The sequence below is a fragment of the Homo sapiens genome, chromosome 3, assembly GCF_000001405.40.
Source record: "Homo sapiens chromosome 3, GRCh38.p14 Primary Assembly".
Classification (NCBI taxonomy): domain Eukaryota; kingdom Metazoa; phylum Chordata; class Mammalia; order Primates; family Hominidae; genus Homo; species Homo sapiens.
This window is the reverse complement of record NC_000003.12, coordinates 138,944,066-138,966,884: the sequence shown is the minus strand read 5'-3', so window position 1 is coordinate 138,966,884 and position 22,819 is coordinate 138,944,066. Positions and strand designations below refer to the sequence as shown.

Sequence of the window (22,819 nt, the reverse complement as noted above, 5' to 3'; positions counted from 1 at the left end):
AATAATTTCCTAAATGCTACATTAAGTGGAATCAGAGAAACCTGGATTCACATCTGGACAAGGCCATTTCCTCCCTGTCTCATCTGGGACAAGATTTAAACTTGCCAAGCCTCAATATCTAAATGCATGAAAGGAAGTTGATTTAAAAATGTTTGTGTTGTGGGGTTCTCATGAGAATAATATGAGAGAACATATGCAAAAGGTTTAGAAAGGTTCATTGCGACCTGAAGCTCTTTTTTTTAAACAAAAAGAGTCTCCCATTACAAATTTATAAAAATTCTAGATTATAAAATAACTAATAAAAATGTTCTTTTTTTTTCCATTTCCTAGATACTAGAAGTGGAGGGAAATGAAAACCAGAAGAGTGGCACATGAGCTGGCACAGAAGAAACCCTAGATGGGGATAGGGAGGTTATAAATTGGAAAATACCCACCAAAGATGAGAAGCTTCAGTTCTAACCTTTCCACAGGAACAAGATACAGGTGTTAGGATCACTCAGGGTAAGGTAAGAGTAAGAATTCTGCATAAAGTAAGGACTTTTGAAAGGCTGCACCCTTAAAAGGACTAGAAAAACTTCCCCACCAGTGCAGAGACATAACAATAGGACTTGTCTTTTCCTGGTCTTCCATGAGAAGCACTAAGTTTGCACCAGGGGATGGTTTGGAGTTGGATTTATACCATCCACATTGTACAGTAATCTCTACTCAAAAAATTAACAAATAAACAAAAAACAGATCCCAGGCTGGTTAAAACTCCAGGGCACCTGGTAAAACCAAATAAAACCTCTCTGTAGGGCCATTCTTACAATTCGGGCAGCACGACATTCTCACAGGGAAAGAAATCATCAATGAAAATGGCAAACTGAGCCAGGCATGGTGGCTTACGCCTGTAATCCCAGCACTTTGGGAATCCAAGGCAGGTGGATCACGAGGTCGGGAGATCGAGGCCATCCTGGCTAACACGGTGAAACCCTATCTCTACTAAAAATACAAAAAATTAGCCGAGCGTGGTGGCGGGCTCCTGTAGTCCCAGCTACTTGGGAGGCTGAGGCAGGAGAATGGTGTGAACCCCGGGGGAGGCGGAGCTTTCAGTGAGCCAAGATTGCATCACTGCACTCCAGCCTGGGCGACAGAGTGAGACTGTCTCAAAAAAGAAAATCGCAAACTGTTTCAAGAAAAGTTTGTCATGAACAAGAGTTTGCAGACACAACAAATAAGAGAAAGGACAATGCAAGAGTTTCTGATAGTTGAACATTCTGAAAGACTATAAAATACATATGTTTAAAATGATTAAAGGGAAAAAGAAGGCCGGGCACAGTGGCTCACGCCTGTAATCTCAGGACTTCAGGAGGCTGAGGCAGACAGATCACTTGAGACCAGGAGTTTGAGACCAGCCTTGTCAACATGGCGAAACCCCATCTCTACTAAAAATACAAAAATTAGCCAGGCATGGTGGTGCACACCTGTAATCCCAGTTACTTGGGAAGCTGAGGCACAAGAATCACTTGAACTTCGGAAGTGGAGGTTGCAGTAAGCTGAGATCGCACCACTGCACTCCAGCCTGAGTGATAGAGAAAGACTCTGTCTCAAAAAAAAAAGAGAGAAGAAATAGAAATCATAATGAAACACTAGGCAGGTTTTTTTAAAAACCAAATAAAACTCTGGAAATGAAAAAATATATAGTCATCACAATTATAATGTTAATGAATAGATAAAATTGTGATTAGATGGAGCTAAAAAGAGAATTCATGAATTAGAAAATATATATAAGGAAATCATCCATAAGCATGCACAGAAAGATAAAGCAATGGGAAATATGAAAGATAAGAGAAATGGAAGAGGAAATAATAAGGATCATCAAATTTGTAATAGGAAGGAGCAAACAGAATTAGAAAGTGGTAATACTAAAAGATAAAACCATCAAGAATTTTCAATTTATGAGTGCAAAAGGCTTATTGGGGAAAAAAAGAATTTTCAATAACAGTGAAAAAGATAAATCCTCCCAAGGAAGAATAATCCAATCCCCAAGCAGATTAAATATAAATAATTCCATGCCTAGACACATCATAGTAAAATTGCAGAATATCAAAACAAAATCTTAAAATCCACTAGAGACAAGAGCTACATCACCTACAAAGGAAAAATTAGACTTACCACAGACTTCTCAATAGTGACCACAGAGCTAGAAAATAATGGGATATTCCAAGTATCTTCCAGCATGCTGAGGAAAAATAACTGTCAACTTCAGTGCTCTATACTCTGCGATATTATCAGTGAAGAGGAAGAATGAAATTTAAAAATTTTAATCAAAGACTTACTACTCACAGACCTTTGAAGAAAGCACTATGAACGCTGTACTGCAGTAAGAAGGAAATTGAACTCTGAAGGAAGGAATGAGTGAGCAAACATCTGAGTAACTCTAAACAAGCATTGACTGTAAAAATATACAGATAATAGTGACAAAGGCTTAGCACATAAGTGCTTGACAAATGTTTATTGATTGGTGATTCTTGATTGTGTATGCCTCTTCTGAGACAATTCTGCACATGTTTTGGGCATGCAACTCAGAAGCCCTTCAGCTTATGGCTGTCACTTTCCATTTACTTATTTATTTCAGGAACATTTCACCATTTCCGTTCTAACAAGAATATTCCTTCATAATTTAAGTGCAACTTTGTGCTTATTATTTTATCTTTTTAATTTTTGCCATCTTTTGTTGGTAAGGGAGGGAATTCCAGTTTGCATTCAGCCTACTATTTCAAAATCCCATTCAACAAATTTTATTGAACTGGAAAAAACTACTCCCACCCCTCTGGTCATGCTTCAAGAAGAACAATCCTCATTGCCTGCCAAATTTGAGTAGTTAGATTCTTATACGGTGGCTCCAGGCTCCAAGTATAAATGTTCTAGCAACCAAAACAAAGTCTGGAATTAATACAGTGTCACTCCTGTTGTACCACATTGGTCAAGGTAGTTATAAGCCCACCCAGATTCAAGGGAAGTGGGCATTGGCCCCGCCTCTCAATGGGAGGAGTGTCACAGAATTTGGAGGTCATAGTTTAAACTATCACCAGCATTTGGAGTGCAGCTAAAATTGGGTGCAACTAAACATAAGAGGTAAATAACAACTGTGAGATGTGTAATTTATTGAGCATATACTATGTTCCAAGCACTTTACTTCCATATTTTGTTTATCCTTACGAAAAACCTGTGAGATAGGTAGGCATAATACTCCTCATCTTACAGAGGAGGAATCTGCGTTCATACCGTTGGCATGAATACCCAAAGTGCTTCAGTTAATGAGTGGCCAAGTTCAGATCCAAGGCAGTCACACTGCAAGACCATGCTTTTACCCACTCTGCTTTACTAATTTTTAAAGTCACTGAGCAGTGATAACTTACTCTAGCCCTCGCTCACTGAAGCTGCCTGTGAGGAATTCAAGCTTGGGGCCAGCCGTCAGGAGAGGGAGGTGGCATCCCAGAGCAGGGCTTCCTGTGTAAACAGGAGGCGCATGGGAAGCGGCACTGTGGTGCTGGGACAATGGGCAGTGAGCAGGCAGGGCCTCCTGTCTCCGGTGGGTGCTCAGGGCTGCAGGCGGCTGGGCAGGAACAGCTGGGGCCCTGACTCCCTGACGCCTGGCCCAGGAGAGGAACTGCCCCTCTCATGGCTTTCCCAGGAGGAAGTTCCCCACTGATTCCCGGGAAGCCCTTCCCATCACAGGCCTTGGCTGTGCCTGGGCCTCCTCTTTCTTCTTAAGGAGCATGTTGTCTTTGGGGCTAATCTGGGATACAGGCCTCTTCTGAAGTCCCCATGGCCTGGAGGCTTGGAGGGTGTGGGCAAGCAGGCCAGGCCCAGATGCCAATGCAGGAGGCAGCCACTGCTGAATGTGCACTAAAGAAAAAATGCATAAGGCATTTAAAAAAAACAAACAAAACTTGAGGCATGTAAAGCAAGAATACTTGACTCCACATCCCAGCTCCATCTCTAACTAGCTATGTGGTCTTGGGGAAGACACTTAACCTCTCTGAGCCACAATTTCCTCATTTGTAAAGTGAGAAAATAATATCTATCTGAAAAGAGTTGTTTGAAGGTTGAATGAGATAATGTTTGTAAAGTAACTGACAACTAGTAAGAATAATTATAACTAAGAGCATTTAAAGCACATAAGTAGACTCCCATCTTTGACAAGCAACTAGTCTACAGTGTATCACCTAAATTTTCACCATCACAGAGACGGAGTCTCTCTGTACCAATCACCACATAGGGGGGCAAAGCACCCAACTCCTGGGAAGCCAGAGAAGGTGGGTCTTGGAGAGGGTTCTGAGTGGACCCTAACCACTATCTTCCCAAGGCTTCCGTGGCACTACACACTTGGCCACCTCTGCTTCTTCAGCTACTCCTGCTCCATCATTTTAGTTTCCCCCAACTCTACGTATCTCTTTTCTTTAATGTTCTCCTCCTCTCTGTCTCTCCACACCCTCCTTGAGTGACTTCATCTTGTCTCATCTGTAGACTAAGAACTCCCAAACCTCCCTCCTGAGTCCAGACCCGCATGTCCAACTGCCTCCAAGACATTTCCCCCTGGATGTCCCTCAGGCACTCAAATGCAATGTGTTCCACACAGAGATCATCATGTTCCCAAGAAACCTGTGCCTCGAGCCTTCCTCGTCTCAGGGTAGCCACAACCTATGCCTAGTAGACCAAGTCAGAAAACTGGGAGGTGCTCAATCCTCCCTCACCCTCACACCTAATCAGCCGTCAAGACTCATAGATCCCATCTCCTAAATGTCTCTCCAGGTGGACCCTTGTCTCCATCTGCCTGCCCCTTCCTTACTGCAGGCCCATCTTCTCTCACCTGGACTCTGCTTCAGGTTTAGCACCCTCCCTCCATCCTCCACACTGCAGCCACCTTCATCTTCTTAACATATAAAACCTCTCTTTCACTCCCATTTTACACCCCTCATGTTCTCAAGGTAAAGTCCAAGCCCCTCAAGGAGGCACCCTAGGCCCTCAGTGATATAGACCTTGTCAGCCTGTCCGAGCTCATGACCCGCTGCCTGACACACCTCTCCTACACTGGGTACTGCCAACCCCAGCCACAGGTGCTCTCCCTGTGAGGGAAGGAACCTCAGGTCTGGGCCTTCACACACATGCTTCCTCTTACTGGAATGCCTTCCCCACACCTTCTTTGGCTCCTACGCATCCCTCAGGACGCAGCCCCAGTATCACCTCCTCCAGGAAGACTTCCCATGTTTCCACAGCCTCAACCTTCCCCCATCACAGTATTTATCAAAGTAAACTGCTTTTGTCTGTTTACTTATCCAACTCCCCACTAAACTGTACCTCCCCAAGGGCAAGAACAAGACCTTCCCCTTCTCCAAATCCTCACGCCCAGCACGGGGCGTATAAAGAGGAGGTGCCCTGGATACACACGTTCACTCAAATGCATGAATGACAACTTCTACCAACCAGGGGGTGGCGCTAAAGGCAGTCCTTGGGAGATAGTCAATCTCAAGTAAACCCACTTACGTTGTAGAAGCTTCCTCCTCCCAGAAGGCAGATATAGTTTAAAGTTTGCAAGCATCCTGCTACAAAGCCCTCAGAGCTAAAAAAAAAAAAAAAAAAAAAAAAAAAAAAAAAAAATCTAGTGGGATCCTAACAGAAATCCCCTCCCAGGCATGTTGGGGGGCCAAAGTGGGTGGATCCCTTGAGCCTAGGAGTTCGCGACCAGCCTGAGCAACATGGCAAAACCCAGTCTCTACAAAAAAAATACAAAAAATTAGCCAGGTGTAATGGTGCATGCCTGTAGTCTCAACTATCCCGGAAGCTGAGGCTGGGGTCAGAGGATCACCTGAGCCCAGGAGGCCAAGGCTGCGGTGAGCCATGATCACACAACTGCACGCCAGCCTGGGCAACAGAGGGAGACCCTGTCTCAAAAAAGAAAAAAGAAAAAGAAGTCCCCTTCCAGGCAGGAAAAATGGAGAAATATCAGTAAAACATTTGGTTTTACTGGACTTGGCCAGGACTTGGCTGAAAGTGACAATGGGAGCTTGCAGCGTGGGAGAGCCATCGGGCATCAGGAAGACAGGAGGAAGGCGAGGTGACCAGTGTGCAGGACCCCAGCTCTCAGGAGCTGCTCTGGGCTTGCGCGTCTGTGCCCGTGCACCTGAACCCCGAGCGGCGAAGCCGGGGCTCCCCGCGGGCTTCCTGCATCGCTGCCTCCAGGAAAGACATCACCCGCCTGTCCCGGGCCCTGGTCCCCATCGCCGGCTGCCGCTTCCGGCGGGCCTCTGCGGGGAAGGAGCGCGGTACGAAAGTGAGGAAGCCCCCCGTCGCTGGGGTGAGCCCCGCTTCCGGTCCGGAGGGACGCGCCACGCTCGTCCTACACCCTGAGTCCTACACCCTGAACACCCGTCAGGCCTGGAACAACACCGGGAAACGTGCCTTCCTTCCTCCACCCAGGAACCCGGCCGGACTGCCCGCAGTCTTTGTCCTGCAGCCCTCTCCCATCCTGAATTTCCCGCCTCTTCATGCTACTGCCTCACTATCCATGAACACATACGAGGACCCCTAACATTTGTCCTAGATTCTTCCCCACCCCAAGTTTCCACAATAACTAATAATAATTGCATATCTAATCCCTTACCAGACTAAATCTTGATCTAAAAGAAAGAAGCTCTAAATGAGAAGTCCCCGGCATTCGCTCAACAAACATTTTCTGTCAGAGGTATTACACACCAGGCACTACTTAAACCAAAATGAATCAGAACACAGCCCTGCTCTCAGGGAGTTCTGTCTAGTGGCGGGAGATAGACAAATTAACAAATAAATTACAGCATAAAGTAATATCTGCTGAGATAAAAGCAAGCACAAAATTAGCTGGGTGTGGTGGCCGGCACCTGTAATCCCAGCTACTCAAGAGGCTGAAGCAGGAGAATCGCTTGAACCCGGGAGGGGGAGGTTGCAGTGAGCCGAGATCATGCCACTGCACTCCAGCCTGGGCAAGAGAGCTAGACTCTGTCTCAAAAAAAAAAAAAAAAGCAAGCACAGACAAGGTGCCATAGGAGCTCAAACACCAAGCCCAGCCTACTGATATATAGGATTGGGCCAAGAAGACCTCCAAGTCCTCTAAGAGGAGGCGACCCTTGAGCAGACTTGAAGGATGCACAGCAAGCAGCTGAGAAGACACTAATGGGCAACTCCCCTTCACCATGCCCAGTGGGGCAACCTGAAGGCCCACATGGCCAAGGCTGCACCTGGTTCAGTGTGAAAAGAGGGGTGTGCAGGGACAGAGCACCCAGAACGTGGATATGCTGAGATGACCAAATGGCCTGCTGAGGGTAGGGGCCAGGCCCAACTCCCCTTCAGAGCCCTGCTTCTGGCTACAGTAAACACTTAAGGAATATTTGTTAAATTACAGCCAATGCTTAATGATCTCTGTGGGCCATATGTGTGTTTTCTTCCAAACCAGACTAAAGAAAACTCTTCAAGGGCAGAAACTACCCTATATTTTTTCTTATGCTTGCCAGAGCACTTGGCACATACCTGGGCACCTGTCAGGTAAGCAGCTGAAATTTTCCCTTGATTAAAGCAATGACAGTCTATCCTCTGGTCCCCAGCACCTGCAATGGCATGGTGGCCAGCTCAGCCCTACTGTGGCCTCTCCTAGGAGACTTGGCCCTTACCAACAAGGCCTTCCCATATTGCCCAGCTTGAAATCCCTCCTTTCTTCCTCTTCCCTCCTGTAGCACCTGTGCCTTGGGCTGAGAGAGTTGTGGAGAGGCTTGTACCTGTCACCTGGGGCTTCCTGTGGGCAGAAATCATGCATTGCTCCGCTCTACTTCCCCACCCATAACAGTCATTGCACAGAAAAGGGGTTCAACAAATGTATGAAGAAACAAATGACGTGGTGGGGAGTTGGTGCTTTGTCATTCATTCTTTCTTTTCTTCTTTTCTTCTTCTGGGTGGAAGACATTGCCTAATATCGTTTAAGAGCCCACAAATTCAGCTATTTCCTAAATGACCCCTGGAGTTCCATCATCATTATCATCAGATATAAGAAGAATCCATCATTCATCCTGCCTGTCCTTCATGGGCCCGACCTAAGGGCAATCAAATGGTTGATAAGGAAAAATTTTCCTTTATGGAAGAGTTTTGTTAATTCCTGAAGATGGAATGCTAGAATTAAAATATCACTGTTTTGCAAACCCTAATGAATAATGGCTCTAGGTGGTGATCATCAATGACTGTTAAAAATCAAAATACAAACAACCCAGGCACTAGTGTTCTGATGGAACTACACAACACTATCTAGGAAGTGTTCTTGCCAGAACAGCAAACTTGAATCTAACCAAGCTTCTAGATCTACCAATGTACAGGAAATAAAGAGGACAGAGGAGCATGTTAAAGGATGTCACAGGGATGCGGTCAGCAAAATCCAGGTTGTGAGAAACTCTATAGGACAAGTGGCCCAGTGTCTTTAAAAGATATATTGCAAGAAGGAAAAAAAGAAAACAATGAGAGATATCTATAGATTAAAAGTGACACGAGACATATTAACCAAATGTCGTGTATAGTATAGATCTTGTTTGCATATTGATTCAAGCAAACCAACTGTAAAATCTCTTTGAGACAGTTGAGAAAATGTGAGCATTGAATACCATGAGCTGAGGATTCACTACACTAAAAAATCACTCTGTTTTTAGGTATGATGATAATATGATAGCTACAGTAGTTTTGGGGTTTTTTTAAGTATTTATATTTTAGGAATGTAAACTATTTACAAATGAAGTAATAGATATGATGTCTGTGCCTGGCTTCAAAATAATCCAGTGGGGGAGGGGTGAGGAAATGGATGGGGCTATAGAAGGAAGTGGATGGGGGTTCAGTGTACTATTCTCTCTCCCATTTTGTAAGTTCAAAATGTGCCACAATAACAGGTTAAAAAGAGATCAAAGGTACAATATAACAATGTTAATAAGAACAAATTAACATATTCATAATATTAATACTATGAATACATTACTAATCATTGTTAGGGTCTTTTTGTGTTTCCTCTGTCCCAGACCCTATACTAAATCTTTTCATACAATATCTCATTTATCTCTCAGGAACCCTGCAACATAGATACTATCATCACCATTTTGCAGATGAGGGAAATGAGGCAAAGAAAGGCTGGATATTGGGCCCAAAGTCACATAGCAAATAAATCACAGAGCCAGGATTTAAGTTGAGACCTGCTGAAACCTGAGCCCACCTTTGTTCCCACTCCACCATCCCACTTATGGGCATGGACTCCCTGAGGTATAGGCATCACTCTCTTTTTCACAGATGTAGAAGATGAGGCTCTGCTCAACAGTAACTGGTGAAGTTGAAAATCCCTGTGACCTTTCATCCAGCGGCCCCACTTCTTGGTAAACTGTAGCACATGAGCACTAGCAGACATGCCTAAGAATATCCATAGCAAGACTATTGGTAATAGTAAAGAATAGGAAATAACCCGATGTCTCTTAACAGGAACATGGATAAATAAACCACGATGTATTCATACAATGGAATGGTGCAACACAGGGAAAATGAATGGAGCTTGTGTTTGTGTGGCAACCAGGAACTTTTTCACAAACATAGGTTGAATGAAAAAGCAAGCACGTGTCTTTCTGCAACAGCAGGATACCATTTATATAAAGTTAGGAAATACAAAACTATATGAAGTATTGCCTAAGAATGGGTACACACACATAGTACAAGTGCAAAAACAGGTATGGGAATCTTAAGCACCAAATTTACCATGGTGATCACCTCAAGAGGGAAAAGGACAGAGAGGAATCGAAGAAGCCAGGGTCCTCAATTATATCTGTAAGATTTCTTTCTTTCTTTTTTTTTTTTTTTTTTGAGATGGAGTCTCGCTCTGTCGCCCAGGCTGGAGTGCATTGTAAGTCAGCCAAGCGCACTGGCTCATGCCTGTAATCCCAGCACTTTGGGAGGCTGAGGTGGGCGGATCATGAGGTCAGGAGATCAAGACCATCCTGGCTAACATGGTGAAACCCCGTCTCTACTAAAAAAATACAAAAAATTAGCCGGGCTGGTGGTGGGCGCCTGTAGTCCCAGCTACTCGGGAGGCTGAGGCAGGAGAATGGCGTGAACCTGAGAGGCGGAGCTTCCAGTGAGCCGAGATTGAACTTCAGCCTGGGCCACAGACCGAGACTCCGTCTCAAAAAAAAAAAAAAAATTAGCTGGGTATGGTGGCATGTGGCTGTAATCCCAGCTACTCGGGAAGCTGAGGCAGGAGAATCATTTGAACTAGGGAGTCAGAGGTTGTAGTGAGCCAAGATCGCACCACTACACTCCAGCTTGGTGACAGAGTGAGACTCCATCTCAAAAAAAAAAAAAAAAAAGATTTGTGTTAGTGTGGCTATGAGGAAACAGGAATGCCACACACTGTTGGCAAGAGTGTATTCTGGCTCAATCTATAAGGAATTTGGCATAATCTATCAAAGTTATAGGTGCATATATCCATTACCCAATCTTACACTTTCAGAAATCTTTTTATAAATATATATATACATACCTACAAAATGAGATATATGCAAGTTTATACAGTACTGTATTGCTTGTAAAAGCAAAGGATCAGAAACAACATAGATAGCATGCAGCTCTAAAAAGAGAATGCATTGATGTGGAAAGATCTAAGGTGCAGAACACTGTGCATTCAATGCTGCCATAGGCAAAAATTGAGGGAGTGCAGAAGAATGTATGTGGGTATGCTTGTATGTGCATAAACTATGTCTGGAAGGATATATGTGAAACCAGGGTCACTGGCTGCCTGTGAGAAGGGTGACTTGGGGGACAGAAGTGGGAGAGAAACTTTTCACTGCAAGCCTTCTATATTTTTAAATTTTGGTCCATGTGAATACATTGCCTACTCAAAAAATGATTTTAAAAAATTTAAAACTCTGAAGCAAGGCGAGCGTCCATCATTTCCAAGGCTGATATCAGTAGGAATTGGAACAGAGGTCTGTTAGCCACCCAACGGCAGTGCCTCTCAGCCTGTCAGCGGTGTGCATAGATGACAGTGCCAGGCATCAGGACCTCTGCTGCAGCTGCACTACCTCCTTCCGTGTGCCTCTGGATCTGAGTTCCCAGCACCTGCACGAGGAGGTCCCTTCCTGTTCAGATATGCTATGAGTCCCTGGTCCTCAGGAGTACTGCCTCCAAGCAAACGGCCAGGGACAAGAGCTTCCTGGAATAGGGAACATCGGGATCCTGGACTGTCCCCACCCAAAGCCCCCAAATCCTGACTACTGCTTCCCCAACAAAAACCTGCTTGTACCACCCCAACAGCCTGTCAGCAATTACCCCCAATTACAAACCCAGAGCCCAGCAAGACCTCAATTAGTCTAGAAAGGGGCCTGAGGAGGGGCCACCTGCAAAGCATAGAAAACCCACATATGGCCTCTACCCACAGAGTAGCAACACTCCTCTCAGTCAAGCTTAGGGGCTTGGAGACTTGGAAATTTGGTAACCTATGGCCCCGAGGAGGAGGCTGCTGGTTCTCCCTCCTGCAGTGCCCACTCCATGCAGGGCCTAGTCAAGCACTGTGCCTAGAGGGGCAGTTCCCCAGACTTCCTGCTCTCTCCCTGCTCAGACCACACTCATCCTCCCCACTCACCACCTTCCAAGGCAAACTGCAACATCTGTCGACAAACCTTGCAGAGGGATGCCCTAGGCATCAGCCTCTGAAGCCCACCATGGGCTTGGCTCAGCATGCTGGGAGGAGGACCAAATTCCCATCTCTTTCCAGGGAAGGAAAGCCTCTGAATTATCCTCTGTAGCATCCAGAAACAGGCTGGTCCCTAGTCCAATCTTAGTCCAATCTTCTGCAAATTCCGAGAGGGATCCCATTAGGTTGCTGAGCCCGGGACTTGGCAAGCTCTGAAGTCTTCACTAAATTGGCCCCCATCCTCTTCTTCTTCACAGTGAGTGTGCGTGGCTGTGGGAGAGAAACTGTGTGCATATGGGTGTGTACACAGATCTCAAATCTAGGTGTGAGAAGGTATGCAGAGAGGACTACAGGTTGATAGGAAATGAGTCTCTTACCCGGCAGCTAGATTTGCTCAGATGGAAGGGAGAACTTCCTGACCTCACGGGAACAAACAGAGGTACATGTACGGAAGTGAAATTCAGAGCCCACAGTCAAGTGGTCACTTATCAGCCAGGGGCCTTTGGCAAGTTACTCACCCTCTCTGAGCCTCAGGTTCCTCAAGTGTAAAATGGGAATAGTACCAATCCCTTAGGTTTCTCATAAAAATGAAATGAGATAATGCATGTAATGTTCCTGGCACAAAATAACTGCTTAATAAAGGATGGCTATTTTTTTGGCCAGGTGTGGTAGCTCATGCCTGTAATCCCAGTATTTTGGGAGGCTGAGATGGGAGGACTGTCTGAACCCAGGAGTTCGAGACCAGCCTGGGCAACACAGCGAAACCCTATCTCTACAAAAAATACATAAATTAGTTGGGTACGGCAGTGAGCACCTGTAGTCCCAGCTATTCAGGAGGCGGAGCCCAGGAGGTCAAGGCTGCAGTGAGCCACGATCACGCCACTGCACTCCAGCCTGGGTGACAGAGTGAGACCTTGTGCAACAAAAACCAAAAAACAAAAAAGCTGTTTTTTCCATTTATAACAACAGTAATAACAAGTGCAGCTAAATAGTGGTTTTTAGAGAATGCTATCTATAAGGGAAAGGCCCTGTTAAAGTATGTCTGTCTATCTGTATATCACTGTATTTGGTTTTATCACTTTGGAAACTGTTTGACTGAATCTATTGAAACTAAATATATGCCTACTCCTACAGTTCACTCAAGAGTAGTAAAATACCCTTCACAAAAAGACATGTACAACAATGTGCACAGCAGCTTTATTTATGATATCCAAAAACTGGAAACAAATGTCCCTCAACATATGGATGGATAAGCAAATACTAGAATATTACACAGCAATAAAAAGAAATAAATGTCTGACACATGCAACAAGACCAGTGAATATTAAAAATATGTTGCACAGAAAAAACTAGACATAAAGGCATACATGCTATATGCTCCATTTATACGAGGCTCAAGGCAGGCAAAGGTTATTTATGGTGATAGAAATCCAAATATGGTTTCCCTTTTGAGGCAATATTGATTGGAAAAAGATATGAAGGAACCTTCTGAAGTGCCAGAAATGCTCCATATCTTGATCCAGGTGGTGGTTACATACTGCATTACATGTCAGAATACATCAAGCTGTATATTGTTTACCATCTGTAAGTTATACTGCATACAAAAATATGGAACAAGGCTAAATGCCCATCAACCAATGAGTGGATAAAGAAAATGTGATATATATACACCATGGAATACTACTCAGCCATAAAAAGGAACAAAATAATGGCATTCACAGCAACCTGGATGGAGCTGGAGACCATTATACTAAGTGAAGTAACTCAAGTATGGAAAACCAAATATCCTGTGTTTTCATTTATAAGTGGGAGCTAAGCTATGAAGATGCAAAGGCATAAGAATGACATAATGGACCAGGCGCAGTGGCGCACGCCTGTAATCCCAACACTTTGGGAGGCCAAAATAGGCAGATCACTTGAGGTTAGGAGTTCAAGACTAGCCTGGCCAACATGGTGAAACCCCATCTCTACAAAAAATACAAAAATTAGCTGGGCATGGTGGTGCATGCCTGTAGTCCCAGCTACACAGGAGGTTCAGGCAGGAGAATCACTTGAACTCAGGAGGCTGCAGTAAGCCAAGTTCATGCCACTGCACTCCAGCCTGGGCAACAGAGTGAGACTCTGTCTCAAAAAGAAGAAAAAAAGAATTATATAATGGGGACTCGGGGGGGGAAGCGTAGGAGGGGGATGAGGGATAAAAGATTACACACTGGGTACCGTGTACAATGCTCGGGTGACAAGTGCACCAAAATCTCAGAAATTACCATTAAAGAACTTATCCATGTAAGCAAAAACCACCTGTTCCCCCAAAACTGTTTAAATAAAAAATAAAAAACTGACTGGGCATGGTGGCTCACACCTGTAATCCCAACACTTTGGGAAGTTGAAGCAGGCAAATCACCCTGAGCTCAGGAGCTCAAGACCAGTTGGGCCCACATGGTAAAACCCTGTCTCTACCAAAAATACCAAAAAAAAAAAAAAAAAATTAGCTGAGTGTGTTGGCTCACACCCATAGTCCCAGCTACTTGGGAGGCTGAGGCTGAGATGGGAGGATCACTTGAGCCTGGGAGGTGGAGACTGCGGTAAGCCAAGATTGCACCACTGCACTCCAGCTTGGGCAACAGAGTGAGACCCTGTCTCAAAAAAAAAAAAAGTGTTTCATAAAGTTATAGTGCACACATACACACACACATACACACACACACACACACACACCCTATCTTGGCATGAGGAAAATCTCCAAAGGTAGAACAGTAATACAAAACTCAGCCCTTCTCCCTCCCTTCCTCTGGACTTTGTGCCAGCTAGGCATCTAAAACTGCCTTCCTCCATGGCAGTTGCCTATCATCTTTAGAAAGTGCCCGCTTTGTGGGAGAAAATTGAGCCAGGAATGAGGACCAAGGGGGAAGGGCTCTCTCTGGCATCCCCTCATGGGTTAGCGTGCGGGTGGAGACTGCAGGCCTTACCTTGCAAGCCAGCTGCCCTGAATGCAGAGACTTCTCTGTTTCCAGTAAAGTCTAGTTTGAATGTTTCAGACAGGTCCTCACCATGACTGGGAACTAGGGAGGTGTCCTTGCCCTTGCCTAAGGTTCAGCACCATGGCCATGCAGCTATAATAACCCCAAATGGCAAAGAACTCTCAGATCCTGAGCTGGCTGTCAATGATCAAACCGCTTTTCCTCAGCTACAGTCCCTTTCTTGGAAATTCTAACTTCATTATAACTTCATTATAAGGAAAGTGGCATTTCCCAATTCTGTCCAGCAGAACCATTTTCTAATTCTATTAAAAGGCATTAAGCCCATCCTGGTGGGGAGCACTGAGTGAGAAGTGGAGGGCAGAGTCTCTGCCCATCAGCGCTTACAGTCTGGGTGTGGAGAAAGGCAACAAGGCAACTTTTAAGAACACATCATGTTCCCCAGCAAGCCTGAGGCCTACTGGCAAGGCACTCACTGTTCAGAGCTGAACAAAATGGCTTTGGGCCATAGATGTCATGAGGGATATCAGAGGAAACTTGTCAGCAGCTCCCACCACCCTAGAATCCGCCTCTGAGAGCATCCCACGGGTCTTTGGAGGGAAGAGGGCCTCACTTGGCCCAGGACCCAGACCCTTCTGCCTTTTTCCCAGTTGGCCTCCACCATGAAAAAGGCCGACAACTGCCCTGCATTCTGCCTGATTGACGATGGGGCACATACTCCTTGGGACAAAATGGTGTTGGAGGACTCATACCCCAACATCAGCAAGGTAAAGAGGAGCCCAGAGCTCTGGTCTACTGCCTCTCAAGCCCTTCCTGGGGGAGAAAGAGGGGAGCTCAGTGAGACACTTAACAACAGGAAACAGCTCTCATGTGTGAGTTCTTCCCAGAGTAGGAGGTCGCTTCTCTTTCCTCTTCCTCAATATCTCTCTCTCTCTCTCCACTCCCCTATTCTCTCCCAAGCACATATGTGAGTAACTGACTTTGCTAATCCCAACCAGGCAGACTAATACCCACTGGCTTCAGACCTGGTGCTATGTGGGTGTCTGCTGCTGCACCTTGTTGGTCTGAGCAGCAAACTCAGCAGAGTTTCGAGACAGAGATAAAGCCTGTGTGAGTGGCCTGTGCATGTTAAAGTGTATCTGGAACGTGCTCAGTACCTGAGCTTCTCTGTGGTCTGTGCGGCAGTCCCATCATGAAAACACCCAGGTGGCAGCCCAGTCACCCGAATCACAGGCCAAGGACATCAGAGAATCAACAGGCTTCTCGGAGTCAGGCTTGTAAACCTGGAGCCCATTGGTCCTTCTGCACCGTGAGATGCGAAAGTGAGCAGCGTGTGAAAAGCCTTAGGGTCTGCACATTGGCTTGACATGTTTTCCACCAACATGTGCAAAATCTGAATTAGTACGTGTAGCTGGTGAGTGTGAGAGAAGTAGGAGGGGAGGGAGAACTAGAGGGGATTTGGAGTTGACAGAGGGAGAAGGAGAGAGAAGTGGATGGAGTAACGTGACCTGAGTGGAGGGACACCGAGTCCCTGAGGTGTGGGTGCAAAGGGCCCTGTGAGGGGCCGGGAGGGAGTGAGTGCTGACAGTTGTTGAGGCGTGGAGTGTATGGGGATGTACTAATAGACACAGTGAAGCTTCCCTTTGCTAGCCAAGCACCGCAGAGGCCATCCCTCCAAGCAGAGGGTTGCAGCAAGCTCTATTCTCTCCCGCTCAGGAGCGGGAAGCCGCCGGGTGTTTCGGGGTCCCGCTAGGAAAGGGGACAGCGGAACCTGGTTCAGGCAGCCGGCGGCGGCGCGGGACGAGCTGAGTGGTTCTAGCGAAGCGCTGCCTGCCTCAGAGCAGCCGCGACGCTTCCCTAGTAGAGCTGGGCCGCCGGAAGCCCGAGGCGCGGGCGGCTTCTGCCGCTGTTGCAGGATTCCCGGCCCTGGGGAGAAAAGCGTCTGTATCAGAGCCGTGTAGATTGCTCGCGCCGGCTGTCGGGACCTCCGAGGCGCGGGGCCAGGCTGCGAGGAGGCGCGGGAGCTGAGACTGCGCTCAATCGGCGGTTCACTGGAACCGTATCCGCAGGCGGCGCTACGGTGGGACCACGGTCAGGAGGCGCCGGTGGCTGCTGAATTGCAGCTGCGGGACCCTGGAAAACTGGGGCAAAGAGGCAGTGAGTTCTGCCCAGCCCACCACCCTGGCCTTTGGAGGTGAGCGCCGCCCCAAGGTCACTAAGCCGGGGGCCCTGCGTCGCCCCAATGCCGCGGGGAGAAAAGGAACCGGCCCTGGCGTCCACAAAACCTAGGCACAGTATGCCCTGTTCAGAGAGGATCCCGACCTCGCCAGCAACCAGCCTACCTCCGAAGGTTGAGAAGTAAATCAGGGCGCCCCGCACCGTTTCCTGGAGCGCCCGGTTCACCCACCTCTGGCTGGGCCGGCAAGGAGAGGATTCTGTTCTCTCCCTAGATTCCTCTATCTCCAGCCCGAAGCCCCTGGCTTTTCCGCAGAAGCCTGGAGGGGACCTGAAAGTAATCATTCTGCCAGCTTTCCCGCCCGCATTTTCTTGCCTGTTTTCTGAGCCTTCGAATGCCGGACAGCCATGTGAAGGCACATCTTGGGGAGACCGATTCCAGCCCTTCCCAGGGTGCACGCATCAGGCATCCTCTTCTTCACCAGGGCTGGGGATTCTGTTCCTCTACGGGACAGTCAGAAATCAGTATTTTCAGAGCAGAACTCCTTTCTATTCTGAAAATCCTTCAGAGGAACTCCTTCATTTGCCCCCAACCCCTACACACACACACACACACACACACACGCACATGCATACACACACAGGCTCTTTAAAGGCTGAAAAGGGAGCCGAGTGTGGAATTCAGGGAAGTGATGACACACACAACAATGCTGTTACACCTGGCTGCTGCAGGGCTGAGCAGCGGAAATGCCTGTGAGAAGAAGAAAGAAAGACAGAGAGACGCAGAGAGCCAGCCTGGGTGGTCAAGAAAAAAAAAAAGGAGAGAAAAGGAGAGAGGAGCCCCCACCAGGATGGGGCCAGACCCAGCTGTTTTTCCCCCTGCCCAGGCCCTGGCTGGGGGAGGATAGGCACTGAGGCCAATCTGCAGCAGCCCCAAACCGGACTCACCACTCCCACCCAAAGCTTGGGCAAGGATGGGGGTAAGGAAGAAGAAAAACATCTGCACTCCTGCTCAGAAAGCAGCAGCAGGGATTCTGCGGAAGTGCTGCTTCCCCCATGTCTGTTGGGTGCAGTGGGAGACCGCCCATAAAAAAAACCAAGCTACTTTGGGGATAGCCTTGCTCCCTCTCATCCTTGTGACCAGGCAAGGGCTGCCCTGCTGACCTCTCTGGTGTCATCTTCAAGATGCTGAATTCCAAAGAGCCCTACCACCCTTGTCCTCCCTCCCTTTCATCTCAGAATGCAGATCAGAGGCCTGAGTGAGCAGCAGACAACACTTGTAGATGGCCTGTGGATGCTGGAACCACAGGCCGCTGAAGGCTCCTTGGGCTTCAGGAGAACCCTCAGAGTCTAAACAGCCTGGGAGGAAGAGGCAGTGACAGGCATTGAGTCAGCCACTCCAGACATGCCAATCACTAATGCACAGCTATATGACATCCATTCAGTCCACCTTCCTCCATAAGGTGGCCTTGCCCCCCTCCTCAGCACCAAGGAGTTTGGGGCTTGAGGATTCAAAACACTGGCCATCTCTCTCATACTTTATGACTGCAGACTTTTTGTTTAGGCCAAGTTAAAAGGCACTGTTAAGGAGCACACTGTTAAAAGGCACACCTGATTTTCCCTGAAACAATCTCTGTACATGCTGAAATAATTGGATTCCCATCAGAATTCTGCTTAAGGTAGGTGACAACTAACTCCTGATTCTTTGGAGAAAGATCAGAACAAATGTCTCATCAGGAGAGAGATTTGAACAAGTCCCTCCCTCAGCCTGATGTTTGTCTTCCCAGTCTGTGGCAAAATACATACACTGGGAGGGAAAGAGGCATCGAAGAATTGTGAAAGAAAGGAAGAAAGGGGGGAAGGAAAGAAGTAAGAAAGGAGAAAAAGAGAAGATGCTATATCCACCAGCTACATTTACTCTAATACTTGATGAACATATTACATAACTATCAGTATAAGTGTGTTTTACCTCGTAAATACAAATCTCACACCTTGTACATGTGCATACCTGTGTTTCTGAGCAGCACACATGCACCTGGTATCTCACCCATCTCAAGGACAGCTCCTCTCCATGACTTCCATATGTGACCCCTGTGCACACACATACACAGTCCCGCAAAGTCCCGGGCAACAGCCCCGCCTGTGTTAGTGCAATAGCTGAGGGGCATCTACTTGGTGCTGTTAAAGCACACATCCAACCTTCACTCCAACCCCGTAGGATTAGTACACGGATTCCTGGTTCCTAGATCCACTGGTAACGCAGGGAGAGGCAGAGGTGATTCAGGCGGCGCCCCTGACGACTATTTCCAGAGATCCTCTCCCCTGCCCCATTCCAGCCCAGTCACTCTGAGAGCGCGAGGGACAGGCCAGGCCGAGGCTTCTTCGTACAGTCACACCCGTTTCTGGGCTGACTTTCCCAAAGCCTCAGAGCAGCTCTCCCCACCCTACCCCGTCCAGCCCCCTCGCCGTCTCGCCCCTCCCCAGCCCCGAGCTAGAAGTTCAGCCTCAAGACGGCAGCAAACGGCAGAGCAAAGGAGTCGTTTTCTTTCACCTGAAAGCCGCGAGGAGGCTTGGAGCGCCTTTCCTCGCTGGGGCCCGAGCTTCCTGGGCTTTGGCCGGGTGCGGGCAGACCCCACCGGGGTCCTCGTCATCTCCCAGCCCAGCCCGCAGAGCGAGTACCGGCAGATTTCAAGGGCGCGTGAGCCTGGCTGTCGGCTGGGCCCCTGAGGCTCGCTGGGCGGGGGCAGGCCGGTCCAGGCTGTGCGGGGCGTTTACAAAAAGTGACTTGGAGATGAACTCGCCCGTGCGCGGCTGGCCGCCCCGCTATAGGGGCGAAGGCGCCTGACGCAAGCGGAACTCGGTGGAGCCCATACGAATCAGAACAGAGCGAGGCTCCTGGCGCACTAGGGACTCCAGGAGGCAGCTCCGCCAGAGACGCGGGTCGTGCTTCGGGAAACCGGGGGGCGGGGGGAGGGGAAGAGCGCAGAAAAGAAAACCCACCAAGGCGGGGACTGGCCTGAGCGGGGAGGGGCGGCGAGGCCGGAGCCCCTCTCTGTTGGGCGGACTCCCCATGGCCAGAGGCTGAGCTCCACTCCCGCCGGCCGCTCCCTAGGGGAAGGGGAAGGAGAGGGGAGAGCAGCGACAGGCCTCCAGCAAGCAAGCGCGGGCGGCATCCGCAGTCTCCAGAAGTTTGAGACTTGGCCGTAAGCGGACTCGTGCGCCCCAACTCTTTGCCGCGCCAGCGCCTGGAGCGGAGAGCAGAGGCGGCCCGGCCGCGGCGCGCCGGCTTTGTCATGATGGCCAGCTACCCCGAGCCCGAGGACGCGGCGGGGGCCCTGCTGGCCCCAGAGACCGGTCGCACAGTCAAGGAGCCAGAAGGGCCGCCGCCGAGCCCAGGCAAGGGCGGTGGGGGTGGCGGCGGGACAGCCCCGGAGAAGCCGGACCCGGCGCAGAAGCCCCCGTACTCGTACGTGGCGCTCATCGCCATGGCGATCCGCGAGAGCGCGGAGAAGAGGCTCACGCTGTCCGGCATCTACCAGTACATCATCGCGAAGTTCCCGTTCTACGAGAAGAATAAGAAGGGCTGGCAAAATAGCATCCGCCACAACCTCAGCCTCAACGAGTGCTTCATCAAGGTGCCGCGCGAGGGCGGCGGCGAGCGCAAGGGCAACTACTGGACGCTGGACCCGGCCTGCGAAGACATGTTCGAGAAGGGCAACTACCGGCGCCGCCGCCGCATGAAGAGGCCCTTCCGGCCGCCGCCCGCGCACTTCCAGCCCGGCAAGGGGCTCTTCGGGGCCGGAGGCGCCGCAGGCGGGTGCGGCGTGGCGGGCGCCGGGGCCGACGGCTACGGCTACCTGGCGCCCCCCAAGTACCTGCAGTCTGGCTTCCTCAACAACTCGTGGCCGCTACCGCAGCCTCCCTCACCCATGCCCTATGCCTCCTGCCAGATGGCGGCAGCCGCAGCGGCTGCAGCAGCTGCGGCTGCAGCCGCGGGCCCCGGTAGCCCTGGCGCGGCCGCTGTGGTCAAGGGGCTGGCGGGCCCGGCCGCCTCGTACGGGCCGTACACACGCGTGCAGAGCATGGCGCTGCCCCCCGGCGTAGTGAACTCGTACAATGGCCTGGGAGGCCCGCCGGCCGCACCCCCGCCTCCGCCGCACCCCCACCCGCATCCGCACGCACACCATCTGCACGCGGCCGCCGCACCGCCGCCTGCCCCACCGCACCACGGGGCCGCCGCGCCGCCGCCGGGCCAGCTCAGCCCTGCCAGCCCAGCCACCGCCGCGCCCCCGGCGCCCGCGCCCACCAGTGCGCCGGGCCTGCAGTTCGCTTGTGCCCGGCAGCCCGAGCTCGCCATGATGCATTGCTCTTACTGGGACCACGACAGCAAGACCGGCGCGCTGCATTCGCGCCTCGATCTCTGAGAGCCCACCGCATGCCGGTGCAGACGGATGCGAGGATGCAGGGACGCGCGACGCCGGCCCCGGTCGCAGCCGACGACGCCGCCGCCAGCCTGACCTCACACCCTCTGGGCCCGCCTCTGGAGCCAGCGCCCAGGGTCCCTCTGTGCTTTTTCGCTTTCCTAAGCTCCTGTCGCTCCTCTTTGTCCCCTCAGTTTATGTCCTCCTGTGCTCACCTCCCTGACCTCTGTGACCTTGCACTCCCCTGGCCTGAAGCTGCCTCTCTGCGCGCTTTCTACTGGGCTCGTCTCTTTCCGGAGCCCCAGCGTCTCCTGCCCAAATTCACCGCGGAAAGGGCCCGGGGCGGAGGTGCGACCGGGCGTCGGCAGCGCAGACCTCTTGGCCTTCTCTCACAGGTCGGTGCGCTCGCTCTCCGCGTTCCCCGCCCGACTGCCGTGCAGTCCATGGCTAGACGCGCCGGACAGGACTGATGGCGGGACCGCGCTGCCCGAGAAAGGGACGGACCAATACGTGTGTTTGCTCCGCGAACCCTCTTGAAGCTGTTCAGAAGCCGCTTGCCGCGGGGCCCACTAGGCGGGGCGGGGGTTGGGACCCAGCGGGAGCCGGGGCAGCCTGGCTCCACGGCCTGTACTCGGTTTACACCGCGGGCGGGCGCGGAGGGAGGCTGCGTTTCCTCCGCTATCAGTCCCGTCGCTTCGGGCACCTCCGGGCCCCGGCGGCTGGCTAATGTTTTGTTTGAAAGATCGGTGGAACTTTTTAAGAGAGTATTTAAAAAAAAAAAAAGGAAAAAAAATTCACCGGGCAACCGGGGAAGTATTGTGGCCTTGGAGTTTGCTAAATCCAAATATGAAAATCAAAAGCTTTAGTATTCCTCATCTTCTCTTCTGGAAGATTTGCGTTAGAGTTTTTGTTGGGCCTTCAAAAAGCTGTGTTCAGAGTTAGGAGAATATATCCAATAAAAGATGGTTTCGTCTACCAATTGGGGAAGTTTCACCCTCTCCCTATCTGAAGAAAAAAATCAAAAACAAATGTCCCCGGATCTTTCGATGCAAGTCCTGGAGGCAGGGAGATCACTGCCTGCCTGGCCCACGCTGCTGGGACGGCTCGTCCTCCCTGCTTTTTGTTTTTCAAACCTCCTGCTTCTCCCACCTTGGGAAGGAGAAATGTGAAACCCGGCAGCGGCCGACCTAGGCGGTCTTGTGGCCCGGAGCCGGCCCGGCCCGAAAACCATAGACCTGGTTGTACTGTAGCTTGTTGTTTGGGGGACCAAATTTTCTAGAGAGAACTAGAGCACTTTTGTTGTGTTTTTTTGTTTTGTTTTTGTTTTTTGCCTTGTCGATTCCCGAATAAATTTTGTGTTCCTTCTTTTAACACGGACTTCTTTATTTCTGTCGCTCCTTAGTTCAGCAGCTAGTTAAAAGAGGAAGATTTTCAGCAAAATTTTATCTTTTTCAGAATGAGTTAAACAAAGATTGAGAGCAACCGGGGTGGCAGGCGTTTGTGGCTGTCGCTGCTGCTTTGTTTTCCTG

The 22,819-nt window shown here is 49.6% G+C and overlaps 2 protein-coding genes across 6 annotated transcripts, besides 2 other annotated features; one reads left to right on the top strand and one right to left on the bottom strand.

Annotated features, from left to right (window-relative positions):
• On the bottom strand, nucleotides 12,895–19,668 carry FOXL2NB (FOXL2 neighbor). Of its 5 annotated transcripts, XM_005247443.4 has the most exons (4): nucleotides 19,421–19,668; nucleotides 18,878–18,960; nucleotides 17,246–17,373; nucleotides 12,895–16,620 (listed from the first exon to the last, which is right to left on the bottom strand). In XM_005247443.4, exons 2-4 carry the CDS (start codon nucleotides 18,898–18,900, stop codon nucleotides 16,313–16,315), a joined length of 459 nt encoding a protein of 152 aa, XP_005247500.1. In that variant the 5' UTR covers nucleotides 18,901–18,960; nucleotides 19,421–19,668; the 3' UTR covers nucleotides 12,895–16,312. The 5 variants fall into 5 exon arrangements, with proteins under 5 accessions (XP_005247500.1, NP_001035150.1, XP_024309285.1 ...); NM_001040061.3 differs by lacking the exon at nucleotides 18,878–18,960 and having other exon boundaries at nucleotides 17,246–17,365; XM_024453518.2 differs by lacking the exon at nucleotides 12,895–16,620 and having other exon boundaries at nucleotides 16,638–17,373.
• Nucleotides 19,504–19,732: a silencer, noted in NCBI's record as "fragment chr3:138665995-138666223 (GRCh37/hg19 assembly coordinates)". NCBI's record gives its function as "represses an EF-1alpha promoter that drives an FKBP-Casp9 reporter gene in an ReSE screen in HepG2 liver carcinoma cells {active_cell/tissue: HepG2}" and the evidence as "EXISTENCE:reporter gene assay evidence [ECO:0000049][PMID:32094911]".
• Nucleotides 19,748–22,661, top strand: FOXL2 (forkhead box L2). The gene has a single exon (NM_023067.4). The coding sequence runs from the start codon at nucleotides 20,163–20,165 to the stop codon at nucleotides 21,291–21,293; it is 1,131 nt and encodes a 376-aa protein (NP_075555.1). The 5' UTR covers nucleotides 19,748–20,162; the 3' UTR covers nucleotides 21,294–22,661.
• Nucleotides 21,773–22,362: an enhancer, noted in NCBI's record as "H3K4me1 hESC enhancer chr3:138663365-138663954 (GRCh37/hg19 assembly coordinates)". NCBI's record gives its function as "activates a minimal SCP1, AML or CMV promoter by ChIP-STARR-seq in naive H9 embryonic stem cells {active_cell/tissue: H9 hESC(naive)}" and the evidence as "EXISTENCE:reporter gene assay evidence [ECO:0000049][PMID:30033119]".

Excerpts from the sequence above, each read along its gene's own strand:
- FOXL2 (NM_023067.4), top strand. The coding sequence starts at position 20,163 with ATGATGGCCAGCTACCCCGAGCCCGAGGACGCGGCGGGGGCCCTGCTG.
- FOXL2NB (XM_024453517.2), bottom strand. The coding sequence starts at position 17,214 with ATGATTACTTTCAGGTCCCCTCCAGGCTTCTGCGGAAAAGCCAGGGGC.